This window comes from Homo sapiens, chromosome 3, assembly GCF_000001405.40.
Source record: "Homo sapiens chromosome 3, GRCh38.p14 Primary Assembly".
Taxonomy (NCBI): domain Eukaryota; kingdom Metazoa; phylum Chordata; class Mammalia; order Primates; family Hominidae; genus Homo; species Homo sapiens.
In genome coordinates, this window is record NC_000003.12 from 153,483,738 (window position 1) to 153,503,844 (window position 20,107).

Genomic DNA, 20,107 nt, shown 5'->3' on the forward strand with positions numbered 1-20,107 from the left:
AGTCCCTTCTGCCATAACTTACTGGTCAAATCATAATTAACATTCAGCCCATATTTGATTAAAGGAGAAACAGACCACACCTGATCATCTTTAATTTTCCTTGTCCATCTCTCCCACAGTGGTTAACTATTAAAAATTAGTCAGTTTACAGTGCAATCACCAGTAAGATAGCAGTATATACAAAGTAGTTGGGACAGAGAGGGCTGTGTCTGGAGGATTAGGAGAAAGCTTGACAGAAGAGCTTCATTTGGGTTTTAAAGACTAGATGGAGTTTGCTGGATGGAACAGCAGTAGCAGCATGTACAAATGCAAAGCTTCATGGAAGAGTACGCTGTGCTAAGGGAAGGCAAATGTGCCTGCAGTGTGACCAAGCTAGAAAGAAGAAACTTATCCAATAGCCACTGGATGTCATTGGAAAGTTTTACTACAAAATTCCTCCTGTAAGTGTGTGGGATCAATGAGTATGAAAAGAATAGACGTTAAAAAATCATATAGGATCATATTGCAATTACAGTTTGGGAAAAAATTGTCTGCTTAAGTTTTGGTTAGTGGGAATCAATAGGAGGGGAAAGACTTCAGAGGACTCAGCAAATATAGGATGGAATAATGAGTTGCATTTATTTACTTATCCAATCTTTGTTAACACTTCCTAGAAGCCTGGCACTGAATTAGGATTTAGAGAAACAAATATGAATGGTGTGGTTCCTACCCCAGAGGGGCTCACAGTCTTGTGAGTCTGATTTTGCCTCGGGTTTAGAAAGGACTGTGGAACATCTCAGAGCCTCTCAGTAGGAGCAGAAAAGTTACTGGGGAGTACAGATGCATGTATGTGATCTGCAGAAGCTGGTCAGGATCCAACTTGCATTTACTACATTTCCATGGATGTTCAGTTGCCATCTTCTGCCTACTCCTGAGCTTTCATCCAAGAGAAATCAGTGTTTGCTTTACAAGGTAAAACATTGATTTAGCCTTCAGCCTAGACATTCTCTGCTTATTGAGCCCCATAGGCAACTTCATATCTACACTTTCATCCTGTCTCTTTCAACTCTACTCTTTAAAAAAAGAACTTTCCTATTAAACACTCTTATTCTGAACAATCTCTAGCTTTTTACTTTTCTAGCCAAACTGTTTTCAAAATACCTGCTATTTCTTATAGACTTATAAAGTTTTTAACCCTTTTGAAATTATATTGAACTGGTCCTACCTTTTGATGTATTTAGTTTAGCAAGTATCAGGGACAGTTTTAAACTGATGCTTCAGTTTGTGGCTTTGTTATAGACGGAAGACTTGTGGCTGAAAATAGGGCTAAATCATACTTCCTGAAGTTGCTTATTTTAGAGTCTCTAGAATCAGGTAGGCATGGATTTGATTCTCAGTTCTTAGTAACTACATGACCTTGAACGAATTAATTCATCTCTCAAAGTCCAAGTCTCCTCAATCTTAAAACGGGTCTAATATGTCTAATACATGAGATGGTGTTTGGCTATAATGTGCAAGATACCAAAGATATAATAAGGTACAAAAACAGACACAGTCCTGGGAATACCCAACACCTAGATTTAATGTGTTAATATTTTACTAATTGTTTTTCGGATTTTTTTTTTTTTTTTTTTTTGAGACAGAGTCTCACTCTGTCACCCAGGCTGGAGTGCGGTGGCATGATCTCGGCTCACTGCTAGCTCTGCCTCCCGGGATCACGCCGTTCTCCTGCCTCAGCCTCCTGAGTAGCTGGGACTACAGGCGTGTGCCACCACGCTCTGCTAATTTTTTGTATTTTTAGTAGAGACGGGGTTTCACCGCGTTAGGCAGGATGGTCTGGATCTCCTGACCTTGTGATCTGCCAGCCTCAGCCTCCCAAAGTGCTGGGATTACAGGCGTGACAGATTTTTTTTTAAATAAATAAATGATATATATCAAGTGAACAATGTTTTTGAAACTTAATCGTCATTACTTGTAAATCGATTTCACTAATTTTAACTATTGCCAAGTATTTGATTTTATAAATGAAACAAATATGCAATCATTTATTTATCCATTCTTCCTATAATAGACATTAATGTTTCCATTTTTATATTACCAAAAATTCTGCAATAAATATTTCACACGTCTATGTGCTCACACATATTTATCTTGTTCTTTCTCCCTGTATATATATCTAAATGTTGATGAAGATTCTTTTTAGTTTTAAAAATACATATCAGAGTGCCTTTGCATTTCTCTCTGTGGACAATCATAATATCTAGAAGTAATGACATTTTTTTTTCATTTCTTTGACAGACTTCCGGTTGTCTAACCCAAATGCCAATTTTATATGGGCACCCTGCCACTCTTCTAAAAGACTACATTTTGCAGGCAATTTTGCAACCAGGTAACTTCATTCTGGTCAACGAGATTTAAGCAAAGTGTTTTGTGGGACTTTAGGAAAGCCTCCTTAAATGGGAAAAGGTGAGCTTTTCTTCCTCACTACTTCCTTCCTAAAATTGCCTAGAATGAAAATGCAATGTCTGGGAGTTTACCTTGAACATAAGGCCATATGCAAAACTCGTAGAGCAACAAGATAGAAGTATGGGTCCCTGAACACTGTGAAGCTGCCACATCAATCCAGCCTCTGGATTCTCATTCTCTTTCTCTCTCTTTTCTTTTCTTTTTTTTTTCCTTTTCTTTCTTTCTTCTTTTTCTTTCTTTCTCTCTCTCTCTTTCTTTTTTTTGTGAAAGTTCTATCTTATTTAAGTTATTATCATTTAAGATTTTTCTGTATATACAGCTGAAATCCTAATGTATACACTTTCCATTTCTTGTATCTCTTATCTTTTCCTTGAGCTATTGTGTTATCTTTGACCTCCAGGAAAATACTGAATAATGGTGTTCATTGCAGCCCTCCTTCTATTATTCTTACCTAGAATAGAAATGAATCAAAATCTTCTTCATTAAGTGTGGTATTTGAGTTTTTGATATTAGAGTTTTTGTAGATATGTTTTATTATTAAGGGAGAAGAAAATAAAAAGTACATCTTATCTATCTGTCATCGTTATACTTTTATCTTAGTTAAAATCAGAGAAGTAGCCATTAACTACTAGTAGATAGTTGCATACATTAGATCTAACCATATATAAGCTTTTAAAGGCTGTTGCTCTTTTAAAATATTTCTCTTTATTTTTAATGTACAACAGGGACATTTATAATCCAGATATAGTCTATATGTACATGTAGCAAAATAAATCTTATAATAATAAGATTATAACAAAATAATATAGCATACTAGTGAAATAGCCACAATTAAAATTCCCATGTCAGGTTGGGCGCGGTGGTTCAAGCCTGTAATCCCAGCACTTTGGGAGGCCGAGGGGGGGCAGATCATGAGGTCAGGAGATCCAGACCATCCTGCCTAACCCGGTGAAACCCCGTCTCTACTAAAAATACAAAAAAAATTATGGTGGCGGGCGCCTGTAGTCCCAGCTACTCAGGAGGCTGAGGTAGGAGAATGGCGTGAACCTGGGAGGCAGAGCTTGCAGTGAGCCGAGATCGTGCCACTGCACTGCAGCCTGGGCGACAGAGCGAGACTCTGTCTCAAAAAAAAAAAAAAAAGAAAAAAATTCCCATGTCAGAGAATTCCTAGTATTACTTTGCAATTGACTTTGTTTGTTTGTTTGTTTGTTTGTTTTTTGTTTGCCTGGCATTACTACAGACAGAAGAAACAAACTTTATCTGATGAACGAAAGATTCTTTTTGGTTCGGCATTCAATTTTTAATGATAGATTTCTGAACTTTGCTTTTAAAAAAGTAGGCTGAATAACTGAACACAAATAAATAACAAAAATTTCCAATCACATGGTACCTATAAAGAAGGTGCTGCCTTTATTTTAAAGAAAGGGAAACATTTATTAAAGACTTTTCAGAAGAAATAAAGAATAAGGAGGAACAGAATATCAAAACTTCAAAAGATGGATCAATAGGAAAGATTTATATTTTGATCTTTCCAAAATATTTGCTTGTTATATATACTGCAAAGTAACATCTATCTTTTATTTCTTTTTAGAAGCCAAACACCTGTTAAATGTTATATACATACTCTAACATTTACTTTTAATGCATGTGCAAATACTTCACAATCTCCTTCTCTTAAAATCCAACAAAGCGCCTGCCCACCCAGGTCTTTTCTATAGCATTTTAAACACACATCTGAAGTTGTTGGCCATATGTGCTGGAACTCTAACTGCTGCATTGATTTGAAGACATAGACAAGATTTGGATTAGCTACCCAATTTAGATTTTGACAATTGTATGATCTATGTGCTGAATAGAACCTCAAACCACAAAGGATTTGCAGTAATGACTCCATCAAAATATTCAGGTTTATAGAAATAGTACCAGTATACAAGTTTATTTTTGCTCTTAAATATAGTAATATGGGAATGCATACTGTTTCAAGTCAGCTGGATCTTTTATGTTGTGTTCATGTTTCTCATCTCTTGATTCAACTACTTAGAATATAGCCTAAAGGAAGCAGATGGTAAGTGAGTGAATAAAGACCTGAATTCTAGTTCCATAATTATTTAGCTAAGTCCCAGAGATTGGTTGGTAGAGTAGGCTTTTTTTTTTTTCTCCCAGAGATAGTATATATGAATCCTCTCCAAGGTTGCTAATACTAATGATAATCTTCACTATACAACTCTGTTTAAACAAAGCGCATATTTCTGGAAAAATTACCAGGGTATTTTTGTCATTTTGCAATGAAAATAAATAAGATCATTCCACTTCCACAATTGAAAGGATGTCAGAGGTTATGAGGAAAGTCAAACAGAAGTTTGAAATTTTATTTCAAGAATTACCATATAGTAATTTTTAGTCAATCCATACTCTCAGATGACTTGTGGCACCTGTTTATATCAACCAAGGTAGAGCAGATGGAGTTACTACAGGTGAGGCTGAATTTGGGAAACAGGAAAATGCCACAAGATTTATGCACTGACAGATCTGAAATTGAATCATATGAAATTTCAATATTTGAGTTTCTGACTTTCAAAATGACAATTTCATTTTGTTTAACCCAACATTAATGGCTAATATTTATTAAGCAGTAAGGGTTTTATATGTATTCAATCACTTATTCCTCACAGCTATGCAGTGTGGCAGTAATTATAGTAACCCTTCCCATTTGAGAGATGATAAAATGAGCCACAAAGGGGTCAGAAATTTCCCTTAGGTCACACAGCTAGTAAGTCTTAGAGCTGGGTTTAGGATCCAGGTGCTCTGTGTTTGATGCCCAGGCTCTTTACCTGCACTACACTAGTTATATATTTAGCCCACAGAATATAAATAAAGTCAAATTCATATTCCAGTTCTGGATTGCAAAATGCCCCAAATTTCTATCCATTGACCTAAAGGTAAAGCTAAATTCTAGACCCATGTATATGACTTCCTCTTGGACAGCTTCACCCGTATGTACTTCAGATTTTTTCCACTCAACATCTCCAAAAAAAAACCTTAATTCTCTTTCTCCACACTGCTCAGTAGCCCATGCCAGAATTTTACGTTTTTCCTGGACTCCTCCTTAATTTCAAGTTCATTCAGTTACTAGGTTCAGTCATATCTATTTCCTTATCTCTTTCATACCTACCTTCTTCCCTCCACCTCTACAACCAGAATTTCTCACCTGGACAACTATAATAGGCTTCTATTTTTCTGCCTATATCGACCATTGGTCTGCCTCAGTTCAATAATCCATCAGTCACTGCGTGAATTTTTGAACATGTAAATCTGATCATGTTATACTCCCTCTTTCCTGCTGGATAATTTGTATATAACTTATATTATTTTGCAACTCTTCACTGGTTTTTCCCATTCCTACTAGTCTCAAGTTCCATGCAGGGAGTATTAGCCTATTACATTTTGTAGTCACATTAATATATGTATAATAGTGCTATGTTAAATGTGTGTAAATTGTGATTTATAATCAATTTCCTTATGTAATTGAGGTGCTTGTCACTTACATTAAAGTGTTCATTTCAATTTCTCAAATTATTTGCTTTGCATTTTTCTACTTTAAAAGTATTTCAGGTCATTTCTAGGTACATTACAGAGCATGAAATGGTGCCACAGGGCTTATAATTGGCCTAAGGCTTCACTTTGCAATTGAGCAGATCAACCTTCTATGACTTATTAATTCTTACTTCTACTATAAACTGATATTTTTAAGGCTATTGGCATAACATTTTTATATTAACCCCAGTTCTTGTGGGGTTAGACTTTCATTTCTTCAGAAAGGACAGATTAAACAAAATGAAGTCAATTTCTTCACAATTTCCTACATGTAGATATCATCGGCATATTGAGCATTTTGCTCATGTGTTCCGATGCACATATTCACAATTGCATTTGTTATCTACTTACTCCTCACTAGAGATAAATAACCTATTTGATTGGAGTGTGCCAGTATGTTGTGATTTGTCATGTAAAACCTAATTTTTAATTAAATGTAATTTTACTTTTTCATTGTGTTGGTTTGTAATATTCCTTATAGCAGAAACTAAGATGAGTAAGCTGACTATGCTTGGGGTCCTTGGGGTGTTCTATAATGTTTAGATCCTTTTGGTTAAATTTCATGAGAATTAGAGGTAATGTGGCATTGGAGGAGGATGGCATTGCTGTGTCGGCAATTAATAAGAAACAGAATAGAGACTGGTCTGGCTTCTTTCTTAAAAAATCCCAGGAAAATATACAGCACCAGAGCTTTTACTAATGGGTAGGCCTGGTTCTACTAGACAAAGAACATAAGTATCACCCTTCTTCCTCTATAATAATTTAGAACGGGTTCATCCAGGTCCCATTTGCATCTCCTTGTCCTTTCTCACTGCCAGTATCATATCTGAGTTACTCATAACCACATGAAAAAACATTTTGCTACCCTTCCCACCATATTGAGTTGCAAGTGACTTCTAGACTATCTCAGGCTGTCTGATTGGACACTCCACAGCAATTACTCCTGTTTGCCTGGGCTTAAGGGAATGCTGTGAGGCCAGCCCTAACCCTGGGGTGCACTTGGAAAGTGAGACAAAGTTATTCTGAGACGTCCATCACCTCTACATCACTAGTCCTGCAGTCTGCCTGTAGATGGGGGACAAGGAATAGATTCCTTTCTGACCAATATCTAACTCTTGTGTTTTTCCCTCTCTTTTCTTTTAACCCTTTATTTAGCATGCTTTATTTAGTCTCAGGGACAGCAAAAACAGGCTTGAGCTAGTCATATATTCTAGATCATCTTCCCTTATGCCTGGTCCCTGGCTTTTTATTTTCAAAAGTCAGTAATTTAAGAAATAAAAGGTATCCAAATTGAAAAGGAGGAAGTCAAATTGTCTCTGTTTGCAGATTACATTATCTTATATACAGAAAAACCTAAAGACCCCACCCAAAACTCTTAGAACTAATAAATTCAGTAAAGTTGCAGGATACAAAAGTAATATAGAAATCAGTAGCATTTTTATACATAATCAACAAACTAGCTGAAAAAGAAATCAAGAAGTCAATCACATTTACAATAGCTACAAAAATACCTAGGAATAAATTTAATCAAGGATGTGAAAGACTTCTATAAGAAAAACTGAAAAACACTGATGAAAGAAATTGAAGAGGATACAAACAAATGGGAAGACATCCCATGCTCACGGATCAGACAAATTAATATTGTAAAAATGATAATACCATCCAAAGCAATCTACAGATTCAACGCAATCCCTGTCAAAATACCAATGGCCTTTTTCTAAAATTTGTATGGAGCTGCAAAAGACCAGGACTAGCCAAAGTAATCCTGAGCAAAAAGAACAAAGCTGGAAGTATCACTACCAGACCTCAGAATATACTACAAAGCTGTAGTAACCAAAATAGCATAGTATCGGCATAAAAACACACACATAGACCAATGGAACAGAATAAAGACCACAGAACACATAGACCAATGGAACAGAATAGAGAAATTAATTCACACATCTATAGCTAAATGATTTTTGACAAAGGCAAGAACACTCATTGGAGAAAGAATAATCTATTCGATAAATGGTGTTGGCAAAATTGAAATTCATGTGCCAAAGAATGAAAGTAAACTCCCAGCCCTCACTCTGTACAAAAATCAACTCAAAATAGATAAAAGGTCCAAGTGTAAAACTTGAAGCTATAAAACTGCTTGAGGAAAACAGAGAAACTTCTTCAGGACATTGGTCTGGGAAGATATTTTATGTTAAGGCCTCAAAAACTAGGCTGGGCGTGGTGGCTTACGTCTGTAATCCTAGCACTTGGGGAGGCTGAGGAGGGTAGATCACCTGAGGTCAGGAGTTTGAGACTAGCCTGGCCAACATGGTGAAACCCCATCTCTACTACAAACACAAAAATTAGCTGGGCATGGTGGCACACGCCTGTAGTCCCAGCTACTCAAGAGGCTGAGGCAGGAGAATCACTTGAACCTGGGAGGTGGAGCTTGCAGTGAGTGGAGATTGTGCCACTGCACTTCACTCCTGGGCAGCAGAGCGAGACTCTGTCTCAAAAAAAAAAAAAAAAGAAAAAAAGGAAAAAAAAAAAAGAAAAAACAAAAACCCACAGGTAACAACAACAAAAATAAACACACGAGATTATATCAAGCTAAAAAGGCTCTGCACAGCAGCAAAGGAAACAATTAACAGAGTGAAAAGACAGTCTACAGAATGGGATAAAATATTTGCAAACTACTCATTCATGGGGTATTGATATCCAGAATATTCAAGGAATTCAAACATCTCAACAGCAAAAATAACAATCAGTTTAAAAAATGGGTAAATAATTTGAACAGACATTTCTCAAAAGACATACAAATGGCCAACAAATATATGAAACAATGCTCATCAGAGAAATGTAAATCAAAACCCCAATGAGGTATCTTCTTATGCCAGTTAGGATGGCCTATTAGCAAAAAGACAAAAATAACAAATGCTAACAAGAATGTGGAGAAAAAGAAACTCTTACATACTGTTGTTGGGAATGCAAACTAGTACAGCCACTATGAAGAACAGTTTGAAGTTTCCTGAAAAAACTACAATAGGACTGCCTATGACCCAGGAATCCCACTATTGGGAATCTATCCAGAGAAAAGGAAATCATTGTTTTGGAGAGACATCTGCACCCCCACATTTATTGCAGCACTATTCACAATAGCCAAGATGTGGAATCAACCTAGGTCTCCGTCAACAGATAAATGAATAAAGAAAATACACCATACATATCTGATGAAGTACTATTCAGACATAAAACACAATGAAAACCTGTCATTTGTGGCAACATGGATGGGCTGGAGAACATTATGTTAAATGAAATAAGCCAGAAAAAGAAAGTTAAACATTGCATGTTCTTGTTCATATGTGGAAGTTAAAAAAAGTTGGTCTCATAAAAGTAAAAACTAGAACAGAGAGTACCAGAGGCTGTGAAGGGTAGAAGGAAGGGAAGAATAGGGGGAAATTTGTTAAAGGATAGAAAATTATAGCTAGATAAAGGGAATAAATTCTACTTCTATACCACTGTAAGATGTCTATATTCAAAACTAATATATAGTTTCCAATAGCTATAAGGAGGATATTGAACATTCTAATCCAAAGAATAATGAATACTTGAGATGATGAATATGCTAATTATCCTAATCATATTGTATTAGGGTTCTCTAGAGGGATAGAATAGGGTAGGTATATGAAGGATATACCCTATCTCTAATATGTACCCTATCTCTAATAGAGTAGATATATAAAGGAGTTTATTATAAAATATGAACTTATATGATCACAAAGTCCCACAATAGGCTGTCTGCAAGCTTGAGGAGCAGGAGTGCCAGTCCAAGTCTTAAAATTGAAGAATTCGGAGTCTGATGTTCGAGGGCAGAAAGCATCCAGCAAGGGAGAAAGATGTAGGCTGGGAGGCTGGGCCAGTCTTGCATTTTCATGTTTTTCTGCCTGCTTTATATTTGGTGGCAGCTGATTAGATTGTGCCCACCAGATTAAGGGTGGGTCTGCCTTCCCCAGCCCACTGACTCAAATGTTAATCTCCTTTGGCAACATCCTCACAGACACACCCAGGAACAATACTTGCATCCTTCAATCCAATGAAGTTGACACTCAGTATTACCCATCACATCACTGTCCATTCTATGTATTGAAACATCACTACGAACTCCTTGAGTATGTGCAATTATTATTTGTCAATTAAAAATACAAATTTTAAAAAATGTCAAGAATTTGCCTTACCTGCCATTGTTTCCGTTGTGTCATCCCTTCCCAGAGGAGAATAAGTACTGAATATTCTTACTGTTTATTACTGCTTAAAGGAGGAAATGTAGTTAAAAATATAGAGAAAAAAAGTAGTTACTATATCAAAAGGTTTTTGCACTACATGCAATTTTATTTTGGTTGTTTTATCATAGTTTTAATCTTACTTAGTCATTGCTATAGTAAAAACTCAATTCTGGTTAATTAAAGTTAATATTTTTAGTATTAGCAAAAAATTACAAGAACAAATTTTAAAATATTTAGCCTTTTTACAACCCCAGTGTCAGAATTACACTGTACCTGGAATAGGCTTCCAATATGTGTTTCAATTGGTTTATGTTATATATGTATTTTTTTATATAGTAAGTAAAAATCATTTGTAATTAGGATACGAATGAACCAGGCTATGTAGGCGCCTAACATTATGCATATATTTAAATTACACTTTATTACTCATTTGCTTTAACAAGTTAAATCTAGCAGTGTCATTCTTTTAATGTGTGCCTTTTAAACTAATGAGAATTTATTTCACTATGCTGTAGAATAAAATGTCAAATAAGGAGAAGCCACAGATATTTATTTTATTTATGGGTCATAGCATTCTCAAAAACTATATCTAGAAATTAAAAAGTTGAAATAGAAAAAAAAAACCTTAAGCAAAAAGAGTTTAAGAAGTGCTAGATCAGGAACAGAAAACCAAACATCACATGTTCTCCCTCCTAAGTGTGAATTCTCACTCACTGGGAGGGACACAGGGAGGGGAACATCACACACTGGGGCCAGTTGGGGGTGGGGGCAAGGGGAGGGAGAGTATTAGGACAAATACCTAATGCATGTGGGACTTAAAACCTAGATGACAGGTTGATGGGTGCAGCAAATCACCATGGCACACGTATACCTATATAACAAACGTGCATGTTCTGCACATGTATCCCAGAACTTAAAGTATAATTAAAAAAAAAAAAAAAAAAAGAAGTGCTAGATCCTTTCAGCTGGTTTCTGAAACCAGCTACCAAAGATATTTGGTGTACTTTTATTCCTGTCACTTCTAGCAAAGATTATGGAAAAACAAATAATTTGTAAATGCTGAGAATTGTACTCACTTCAGAGGATTATTGTAAGAATTAGTTGAGAAACCCAGAGCCTGGCACATGATAAATTCTCAATAAATGCATAATAAATATGTTCCTGATGGCATCTGGGAGGAAACTGTATCAGAAAAAGGACAAAACTGTTCCTGATCCTGTACAGAAAGTAAGACCTCCTGGACTGTGATGTCTGTAGAGGGTTAGGTGCCAGGGTTCACAGAGCACATCGCTTTAATGGGAAGGGAAGCTCATTCAGGGAGAACAAGGAGAGTTAGGACAGGTGCCGAGACTCTAATAGGATGGGGAATGCAGAGGATTGTGAACACAGGCAGGAGACCTTTGACCTGCCAGAGAACAGCCAAGGTGTGCAAAACATGAAGCAACTTCCAAAAAGTGAAGATTCACAGGCAAGAGAAAGAGAAAGAATAAAGGGAAAGTACACTTAGAGGATATTGTAGGAAGGGCAGCAAAGCTCTAGCAATAAGACAGTAAGACACTGAGTAAATGACAGGTTTCCAGCTGAGCTCTTCCTTCTATAGAAGCAGAAACAGATCAAGAGCAAGACCCAGACACTGACAAGAAAATATCTAGCTGTTAAAATCCACTTAGGATTAGGTATCAAAATTAAAATAGATATGGTACTTTTTAAAAAGGCATTAATGCATATTATATAATTATACTGTATGATTATTCTTAAGTGCACATTTATCTTTCTTATTAAAGTTTCAGTTAAGAATTCTGAGAAATGATTATATTTTTATAAACCATCTGGTTTAGCTGTAGGCAAACTCGGGGAAAAATATGTCTGATGAGGTTAATCTTTTTCATTTCCCAACAAATCAGAACAAAGGCTGAGGAGAAGGAGGAATGTTCAGAATTGAAACAATGAACGTAAATGTATTTAAATATTTGTATATAAAATTTTTGACATTTAAACATTACCTGAGAACCATTTTTCTTCACCACAATTATGTTAAATCTTCCATCATTTTATATATGATCAAATGTGATATGATATTAAGTCACTATTTTGAGGTAATTAGTTAGTACATTTAAGACCACAGTCATTTGGGGAGCTAACAGTGGGGGACTTCATAAACTAAGGTCCTTGAACTGTATTTCCATGAAGAATGTGGAGAATGATTAATTGAAGACCACCACACACATGCAATAATACAGTTCTCCCTCATTCTCTGCCTCCTTGTTTTTACATCTTCTGTCTCATTTTCTCTTCACTCTGTATGATTCTAACCCCTTCTCTCCCTGATATCACTTAATATTTACTGCTTTTCTTTCCAAAAAAGTACACTAAAGAGAAAAAAAGTACACTAAAGAGAAAAAAAGTCAAATGTTGTAGAATCATCAATTCTTTGTTTAATGGTATCAAGGCTCTGTTTAATGGTATTATTGAAATTTAAAGAAGTAACTTAATTTAGGTTCAATTTAAATTGTTTACTTGTCTTGGATTCTTATTAGCACCTCTTTTTTTTTTTTTTTTTTTCTGAGATGGTGTCTGGCTCTGTCATCCAGGATGGAGTGTAGTCGTGCAATCTCGGCTCACTGCAACTTCTGCCTCCTGGGTTCAAGTGATTCTCCTGCCTCAGACTCCTGAGTAGCTGGGACAGGCACCAGGCACCATGCCTGGCTAATTTCTGTATTTTAGTAGAGATGGTGTTTCACCATGTTGGTCAGGCTGGTCTTGAAATCCTGACCTCAAGTGATTCACCTGCCTTGGCCTCCCAAAGTGCTGGAATTACAGGCATGAGCCACAGTGCCTGGCCTTATTCTTACACATGTAACTGATTATTTAATAACATTTAATTTCTGGCTTTTCTAATTCAACCTCAGAATGAAAGGCATTAATTTAGCAGTGGACCAGTAGCTGTGCACAGAGCAAAGTCCTTGTCCTTATAGAGTGCATATTATAGAAGGGGATGTAGAAAAAAATTAGAGAAATATAAGATATAATTTTAGGTACTGATGGGTGTTATAAGAAGAAATATAGAAAGAGTATGAATTGAGAAAATGATGAGCAGGAACTTGTTTTAGACAGAGGTGGTGTATGAAAGTGAACAAGAAAGGGAAGAATGTAGAGTTCAAAAGGACATAGCTCATGGAGAGCCTTAGAAGTCTTGGTGAGGATTTTATCCTGCGTTTGATGAGAATCCATTGGAGGGAAAATGTCAGAAGATTGATAATATGATTTACACTTAAAAAGAATTGCTTTGGCTTCTGTAGCAATATGAAGATGAACATCAAAGAGGAGACGAGTCAAGATTATGCAGCAGTTAGAAGAGGAAGGGATGGGAAATGGTCAGGTTTGAGCTATGTTTAGAAGTAGAGATGATGGTATTTGATGATGATATTTGGACACTAGATGATTAGTTTAGCACTTAAAGTTATAAAAATCTTAAATAAGTTTTTGTTTAATAGAGGGCATAGCTCTCATCCTCCCATATAAATGCAGTCTGCCTGACCCATCTTCTACATGGTACCACATGCAAAGAAATGTAACATTCTAATAAATGCACCGTAAGAAATTCAAAGTTTTCTTGAGTTCTCTTGGAAAGTAACATGACCAGTTATCTTAACATCCCCTTTCACCACCTCCTTTTCCTTCTGATTCTTATGTGGCTCAGTAGCCACACCACATTCTCCCTCCTCCCTCTCCCCTCAGCTCTCGCTGAGTTCAATCAGCATCAACTCATCTCTCTCTCTTCCTCTCCTCCTGTCCGTTGAGGGTCTCTCCTTCTACCTATTTTGACTTGAAACACTCTTGGCTTCCTCAAAGATGAAGTGAGGTGCTGCTTTGGATGTCTTAGATTACTCTTCCCTGCCCACTACCCGCTCAGCACAGTGGAAGCCAGGCCAGCAGCCACCACGTCAGCAAGGCCTCCTAAGCCTCAAAGGTCAGGGAATGAGGGGAAGGGTTTGAGACTCATACACTAATACCTGTTGTCTCTTCTACGCTTATTATTAGCTAAGAGCCAGAAAGCACAGGTCTAAAACACCTGGAAATCAGTTTAACTTAAATTTGAACTAGAAATGTCAATAGGACATTTTGAGAAGCAATATCTAAAAGTAATCATCTTGCTTTAAATACTTACTTGTATTCATAAATAATTGTTTTACAAATCAAACAATTATTCTTACGGCATAAAATACATCATGTGTCATTTAGGTATGCAATGTTTTAAACTTTCAACCAATTTAGGAATCATTATTTTAAAATCTCTAATTTGCGGGGACTTGACTCTTCCTTATTTTGATAATTCTATTTGTTGGTTTTTATATTAACTTTTCTAAATTTATTTTTATTCACTCAACTATTGTAAAATATGATTGGGCAAGGCTCAGTGGCTCATGCCTGTAATCCCAGCACTTTGGGAGGCCGAGGCAGGTGGATCACCTGAAGTCAGGAGTTTGAGATCAGCCTGGCCAACATGGTAAAACCCCATCTCTACTAAAAACACAAAAACTAGCCAGGCGTGGTGGTGTGTGCCTGTAATCCCAGCTGCTTGGGAGGCTGAGGCAGGAGCATCGCTTGAATCCAGGAGGTGGAGGTTGCAGTGAGCCAAGATCGTGCCATTGCACTCCAGCCTAGGCAACAAGAGCAAAACTCTGTCTCAAAAAAAAAAAAAAAAAAAAAATATATATATATATATATATATATATATAATGCCAGTTGATTAGTATTTGCAAATACAAATGTAATTCTTTGCTTATAAAATTTTGTACAGCTATGCTTTGGTGAGACATATGTTTAATACCAAATAGAGCAAAAGAACTATTAAATAAGATATATCTTTGTGAATGTTTTAATGAGTTATATAGTAATAATTTCTATTCCCTATAATATACTCAAAATTGCTTATAGCACATTACATACAGTATTATGATTATGATTTTTTTTTTTGAGGCAGGGTCTTGCTCTGTCACTCAGGCTGCAGTGCAGTGTTACAATCTCAGATCACTGCAACCTCCGCCTTCCAGGTTCAAGTGATTCTCATGCCTCAGCCTCCAGAGTAGCTGGAAATACAGGCCAATGCCATCACCCCTGGATAATTTTTATATTTTTAGTAGAGACAGGGTTCTACCATGTTGGTCAGGCTGGTCTTGAACTCCTGACCTCAAGTTATCTTCCTACCTTGGCCTCCCAAAGCACTGGGCTTACAGGTGTGAGCTACTGCACCTGGCCTGATTGTGACTTTAAAACCTCTTATTTTGAAAAAGAAAAGTTATCTGAACAAGGTCTTTTTTTCCCCCTCTATTTTCATTTTTTTTTTCAGCTATATAACCTCTTATTGTGAGCTTGCTAAATACTGTCCTATATGAATACATACATAAGTATGTATTTAAACTAGACATGCGGTTTCTGGCTCTTGGATAATAATAAATACAGGAGAGGCAACAGGTTTCAGTGTATGAGTCTCCAAGCCTGCCCCTTATTCCCTGACTTTTGAGGCTAAGGTGGCCTTGCCGCTGCAGTGGCTGCTGGATTGGCCTCCGCTGTGCTGAGTGGGTGGTGAGTGGGCAGAGAAGAGAAATCAAAGACACCTAGAGCAGCACCTTAATTCACCTTAAATATATAAGAAGGCCTTTTTTGAGACACAAATGAAACATAATTGCTTCTCGTACTTAATGTTTTGTCATTAACATTTTCCTCTGTCAATAACATCTATTTTAAAATAGAATGCTTTTGGAAAGTGAGAATTCTGAAGAATTCAAAAAAGGATATTGTGCTCCCAAGCAATTCAAGAGAGGGTAATGTACTAAATTAGACTACAGGGACAGGGAAGTTTCACTAACGAGGTATCTGAACTGAGAAGCTATGATGGTCAATTTTGTGTCAACTTGACTGGGCCATGGGATGCCCAGACATTTGATCAAACATTATTCTTGGAGAGTCTGTGAAGGTTATCCTGGATGAGATTAACTTTTGAATTGGTAGACTGAGTATAGAAGATTGCCCTCCTTAATGTGAACGTGCCTCATCCGATCAACTGAAGAAGTGAATAGAACAAAAAGGCTAAGTACAAGAGAACTTCTCTTGCCTGACGGGGTGAGCTGAAACATCAATCTTCTCCTATCTTTAAACTCATTGACTGAATAACTGCCTCTTTTTGGGTCTCAACCCTACCACTTCTTAGATTGGAACTAGTACTGTTGGCTCTCCTAGTTTTCATACCTTTGGACTCAACCTAGAACCCATACCATTTGGCTCTCCTTGGCCTCCAATTTGCCTACTGCAGATCTTCTAACTTTCTAGCTTCCTAAATCACATGAGCCTTTTTTTTTTCTTTTTTTTTTTTAAAGACGGAGTCTCACTTTGTCGCCCAGGCTGGAGTGTAGCGGCGTGATCTCGGCTCACTGCAACCTCCACCTCCTGGGTTCAAGCAATTCTCCGGCCTCAGTGTCCCGAGTAGCTGGGACTACAGGTGCCCACCACCATGCCCCAGCTAAATTTTGTATTTTTAGTAGAGATGGGGTTTCACCATGTTGGCCAGGCTGGTCTGGTACTCCTGACCTCAGGTGACCCACTCCCTTTGGCCTCCCAAAATGCTGAGATTACAGGCGTGAGCCATCGCACCCAGCCGCCAATTTCTTATAATATAAGTATTTTACATGTATAAAATAAAGATATATGTGTGATCTGTATCTATATATTTAATATCAAATATGTACATACTCTATAAGAAGCAGCAAAATAGAATTATAATTCATTTCCCCTCTCTTATTTTTGTGTTCTCATTTATATGTGGTATGCTGATCAAAACTACTGCTTCAGTTTGATTTACAGTGAAAACATAACAATTTGATAAACATACAATCTGTTTTTAAAAATTGTGAATGATCATTTAAAAAAGGTAGATTTCATTTTTCTTACGTATTACTTAAAATGCAAGGAATTACTTTCACCAACAGAGCCTACAAAGGTACTAATTGATTTGTAGGACTGGTTAAGTGCAGGAGAGAGGCATTTTCTTGGGTAGATGCTTACGAATTCTTTTTGTATAGTATGTTTTATAAGAAAAAATATCTTAAAGGCACTGAGGATATCATATTTGACACACATTCAATAAAATCTATGCAGAGTAAGAATCTGATATAATGGGCTCACTTTATGTTTTTATCAGAATTTATTTATTGAATAAATATTTATTAAGCATCAACTACATGCCAGCTCTGTTCTTTATGCTGGAGATAGAAAAAAGAACAATGTAGGCAATGTTCCTGCCTTCTAGAAGGGGGTATTCTACTACAGGGACAGATAATCAACAAATAAGCAATGCAAACAAATTAGTATATGATATATAAACTATATATATGTATATATATCTCAAATGATTACGATTAGTGTCCACAGGGAAACAAGTAGGGTGCTGCTGTGATAGAGAATAATGGAAGAAACATGACTAGAAAGGGCCTATCTGAGGAAGAAACGTTTATAATCATGATGATCTTTTCTAATAGCACAATGTCTATAGTTTTCATCTTTTTCCTCCCATTGATATTACTGATCTGGAGAATGATTTATTTTAACATGCCAAGGATTTTTTGTTTGGATTCAGGGGGACGGATGCAGGGTTGTTATATGGTATACTGTGTGATGCTAAGGTTTGGGTTACGGATTGTTTAGAGAGTGATTTAATAATACTTTTCATATGGATTCTATTTCAATATATGTTTCTCAATTTCTTAACTTTAAGTCACAAATATATTTCATAATCCAAGCCCTTTTAGTTCAGACTTTCATATTATAGAACTTTTACAACTTAATTTATTGGTGAAGCCAATATTTACCCTGTATGTCTTAATGTGATTAATTTTAATTTGTATCAATTATTGGCATACATTTGTGATTTGCTTTGTTTCCCCTGCTAGATTGTTGGCTCTATGAGGCAGGAAACATATCTAGCTCCAGTGTCCAGAATAGGGGTTTATACATAAAAAGGAGTTAAATATTTTTTGAAGGAATTGCCTAAATTTCTATGATGAATATTAACAGAATGATCTAATCATTATTACACTTATTTTTTTTTTTTTCCAGATAGGGCCTGACTTTGCAGATGTTAAATTCTTTCTACTCTTGACTTACAATCTTAACTCCCTCTTTGTAAATGTGAAGGCTAGGAACTTTAGGGAGAAAAATCAGCAACAAGAAAAATTTCTGTGATCTTTCCCATGCCAAAGGGTTGGTGATGAAGAAAAGCTATTTCTGAGGATTGAGTATGCATAATCTGTGCTTGGCTTTCTCTGCTCCCTTTGATATTCTATTGAAAGTCCCTCTTTTATTAAACAGGAAAGAAGATTCAAGGAGGAACTGAAATACAGAGAGGCTCCTTTGCAAACCAGTATCAAACAGATGCCAGTCACTTGTAACATCTGCCCTACCATTGGAATAACATAATGAGAGGCCTGGGCAACCCAGAGAGAAGTGTAAATGACATCAGTTACTAATAAGAACACTGCTGAATTTTGAAAAACTTTTGCATGCTTTAATTTCTCCATATTTTAAGTAATTATACTAATTATGAGAGTGCTGTGTATTATTAGTTGTTTGGTCACAAATAAAAACAAAATTCATTTCAAATATATATCTGACTTTACTGCTTTCCTATAGAGAATTGCTTTCTACAGTGAATTACTTTTCATGTTAAGAAAAAGTAACATAAAAATTCATGCTCTTGGGGATGAGTTGATGACACAGGCCCTCGCATACACTACTAGTGGAAGTGTAAATTTATTAATTTATTCAACAAACATTATGTGCTAGGCATAGCTCTGGGCATTGGGGATATGGAGGCAAGCCAAACAAAATCTCTGCAGTCATGGAGCCTACACTTTAACTGGGGAGATGCAAGTGTAAATCAGTTGGTATTTTATACTATGGAGAAAAATGAAGCAGGTTAAGGGAGAAGGGGAGTTTGGGGAACAAATTTTCTTATTTTAGTGTGTTAGGGAAAACTTGGCATTTGAGCAGAGGTGTGAAGAAATCAGAGGAACTAACCATGCAGATATTTGTAGAAGGATCACTCAAGATAGAAGGAGTAGGCCTCGAGTACACAGAGGATGCTATAGCTAAGTAGAGTGAGAGAAGGAGAGAAAGAGATCAGAGTTGATGTCAGGGTCTAGGTCTGAGTGAGATGAGAAGTCCATGCTTTCTGTTTTAAAGGGGTTTTTAAGTAAGAATGATATAACTTGTTTTAAAAGACTCCTGACTTCTCTATGCCATTTTGGGGCAAAATTGATAGAAGAGAGATGTACTAGGAAGCCATTACAGTTAATCAGGCAAGAGACAATGGTGGCTGGGACTAGTCCCCACGAGTAGCAGTGGAGGTGAGGAAGTGGTCAAATATCTAGATGCATTCAGAAGTATAATTTTGGGGTGTACAAGAAAGGCTTGGCCAAGGAAGATTCTAACATTTTTAGTTAACTAGATGAGTGGAGTTGCCATTTTATCAGATACTGATGAAGAGAGTTTAAAGGAAGAAACCAGGAATTTGGTTTTATATATGATTAAGTCAAGATATCTATTAGAAATCCAGCTGGAATTGTCAATACAGAAGTCTGGAGCTCAAGTGGCAGGATCCAGGTTGAAAAAAAAAAAGATCTTAGGATTGTCAAAAAAGAGATGGAACTCCCATCCGTAAGACTGCATGACTATGAATGATTATGACTAAGAAGACATAGTACATGGAGAATAGACAGGGAAACAGAGTGAGAGCAGAACTATTGGATTCA

At 36.5% G+C, this 20,107-nt stretch overlaps 2 long non-coding RNA genes across 2 annotated transcripts in view; one reads left to right on the forward strand and one right to left on the reverse strand.

The window, feature by feature from the left end:
* The window catches only part of LINC02006 (long intergenic non-protein coding RNA 2006), a 378,977-nt gene that overhangs the window by 100,188 nt on the left and 258,682 nt on the right, over positions 1–20,107 (reverse strand). The gene's annotated exons all lie outside the window — the stretch shown is intronic.
* On the forward strand, positions 758–18,960 carry LINC02877 (long intergenic non-protein coding RNA 2877). Its single transcript, NR_160966.1, has 3 exons — positions 758–951; positions 2,278–2,368; positions 18,666–18,960. It is a non-coding gene; the product is annotated as a long intergenic non-protein coding RNA 2877 (long non-coding RNA).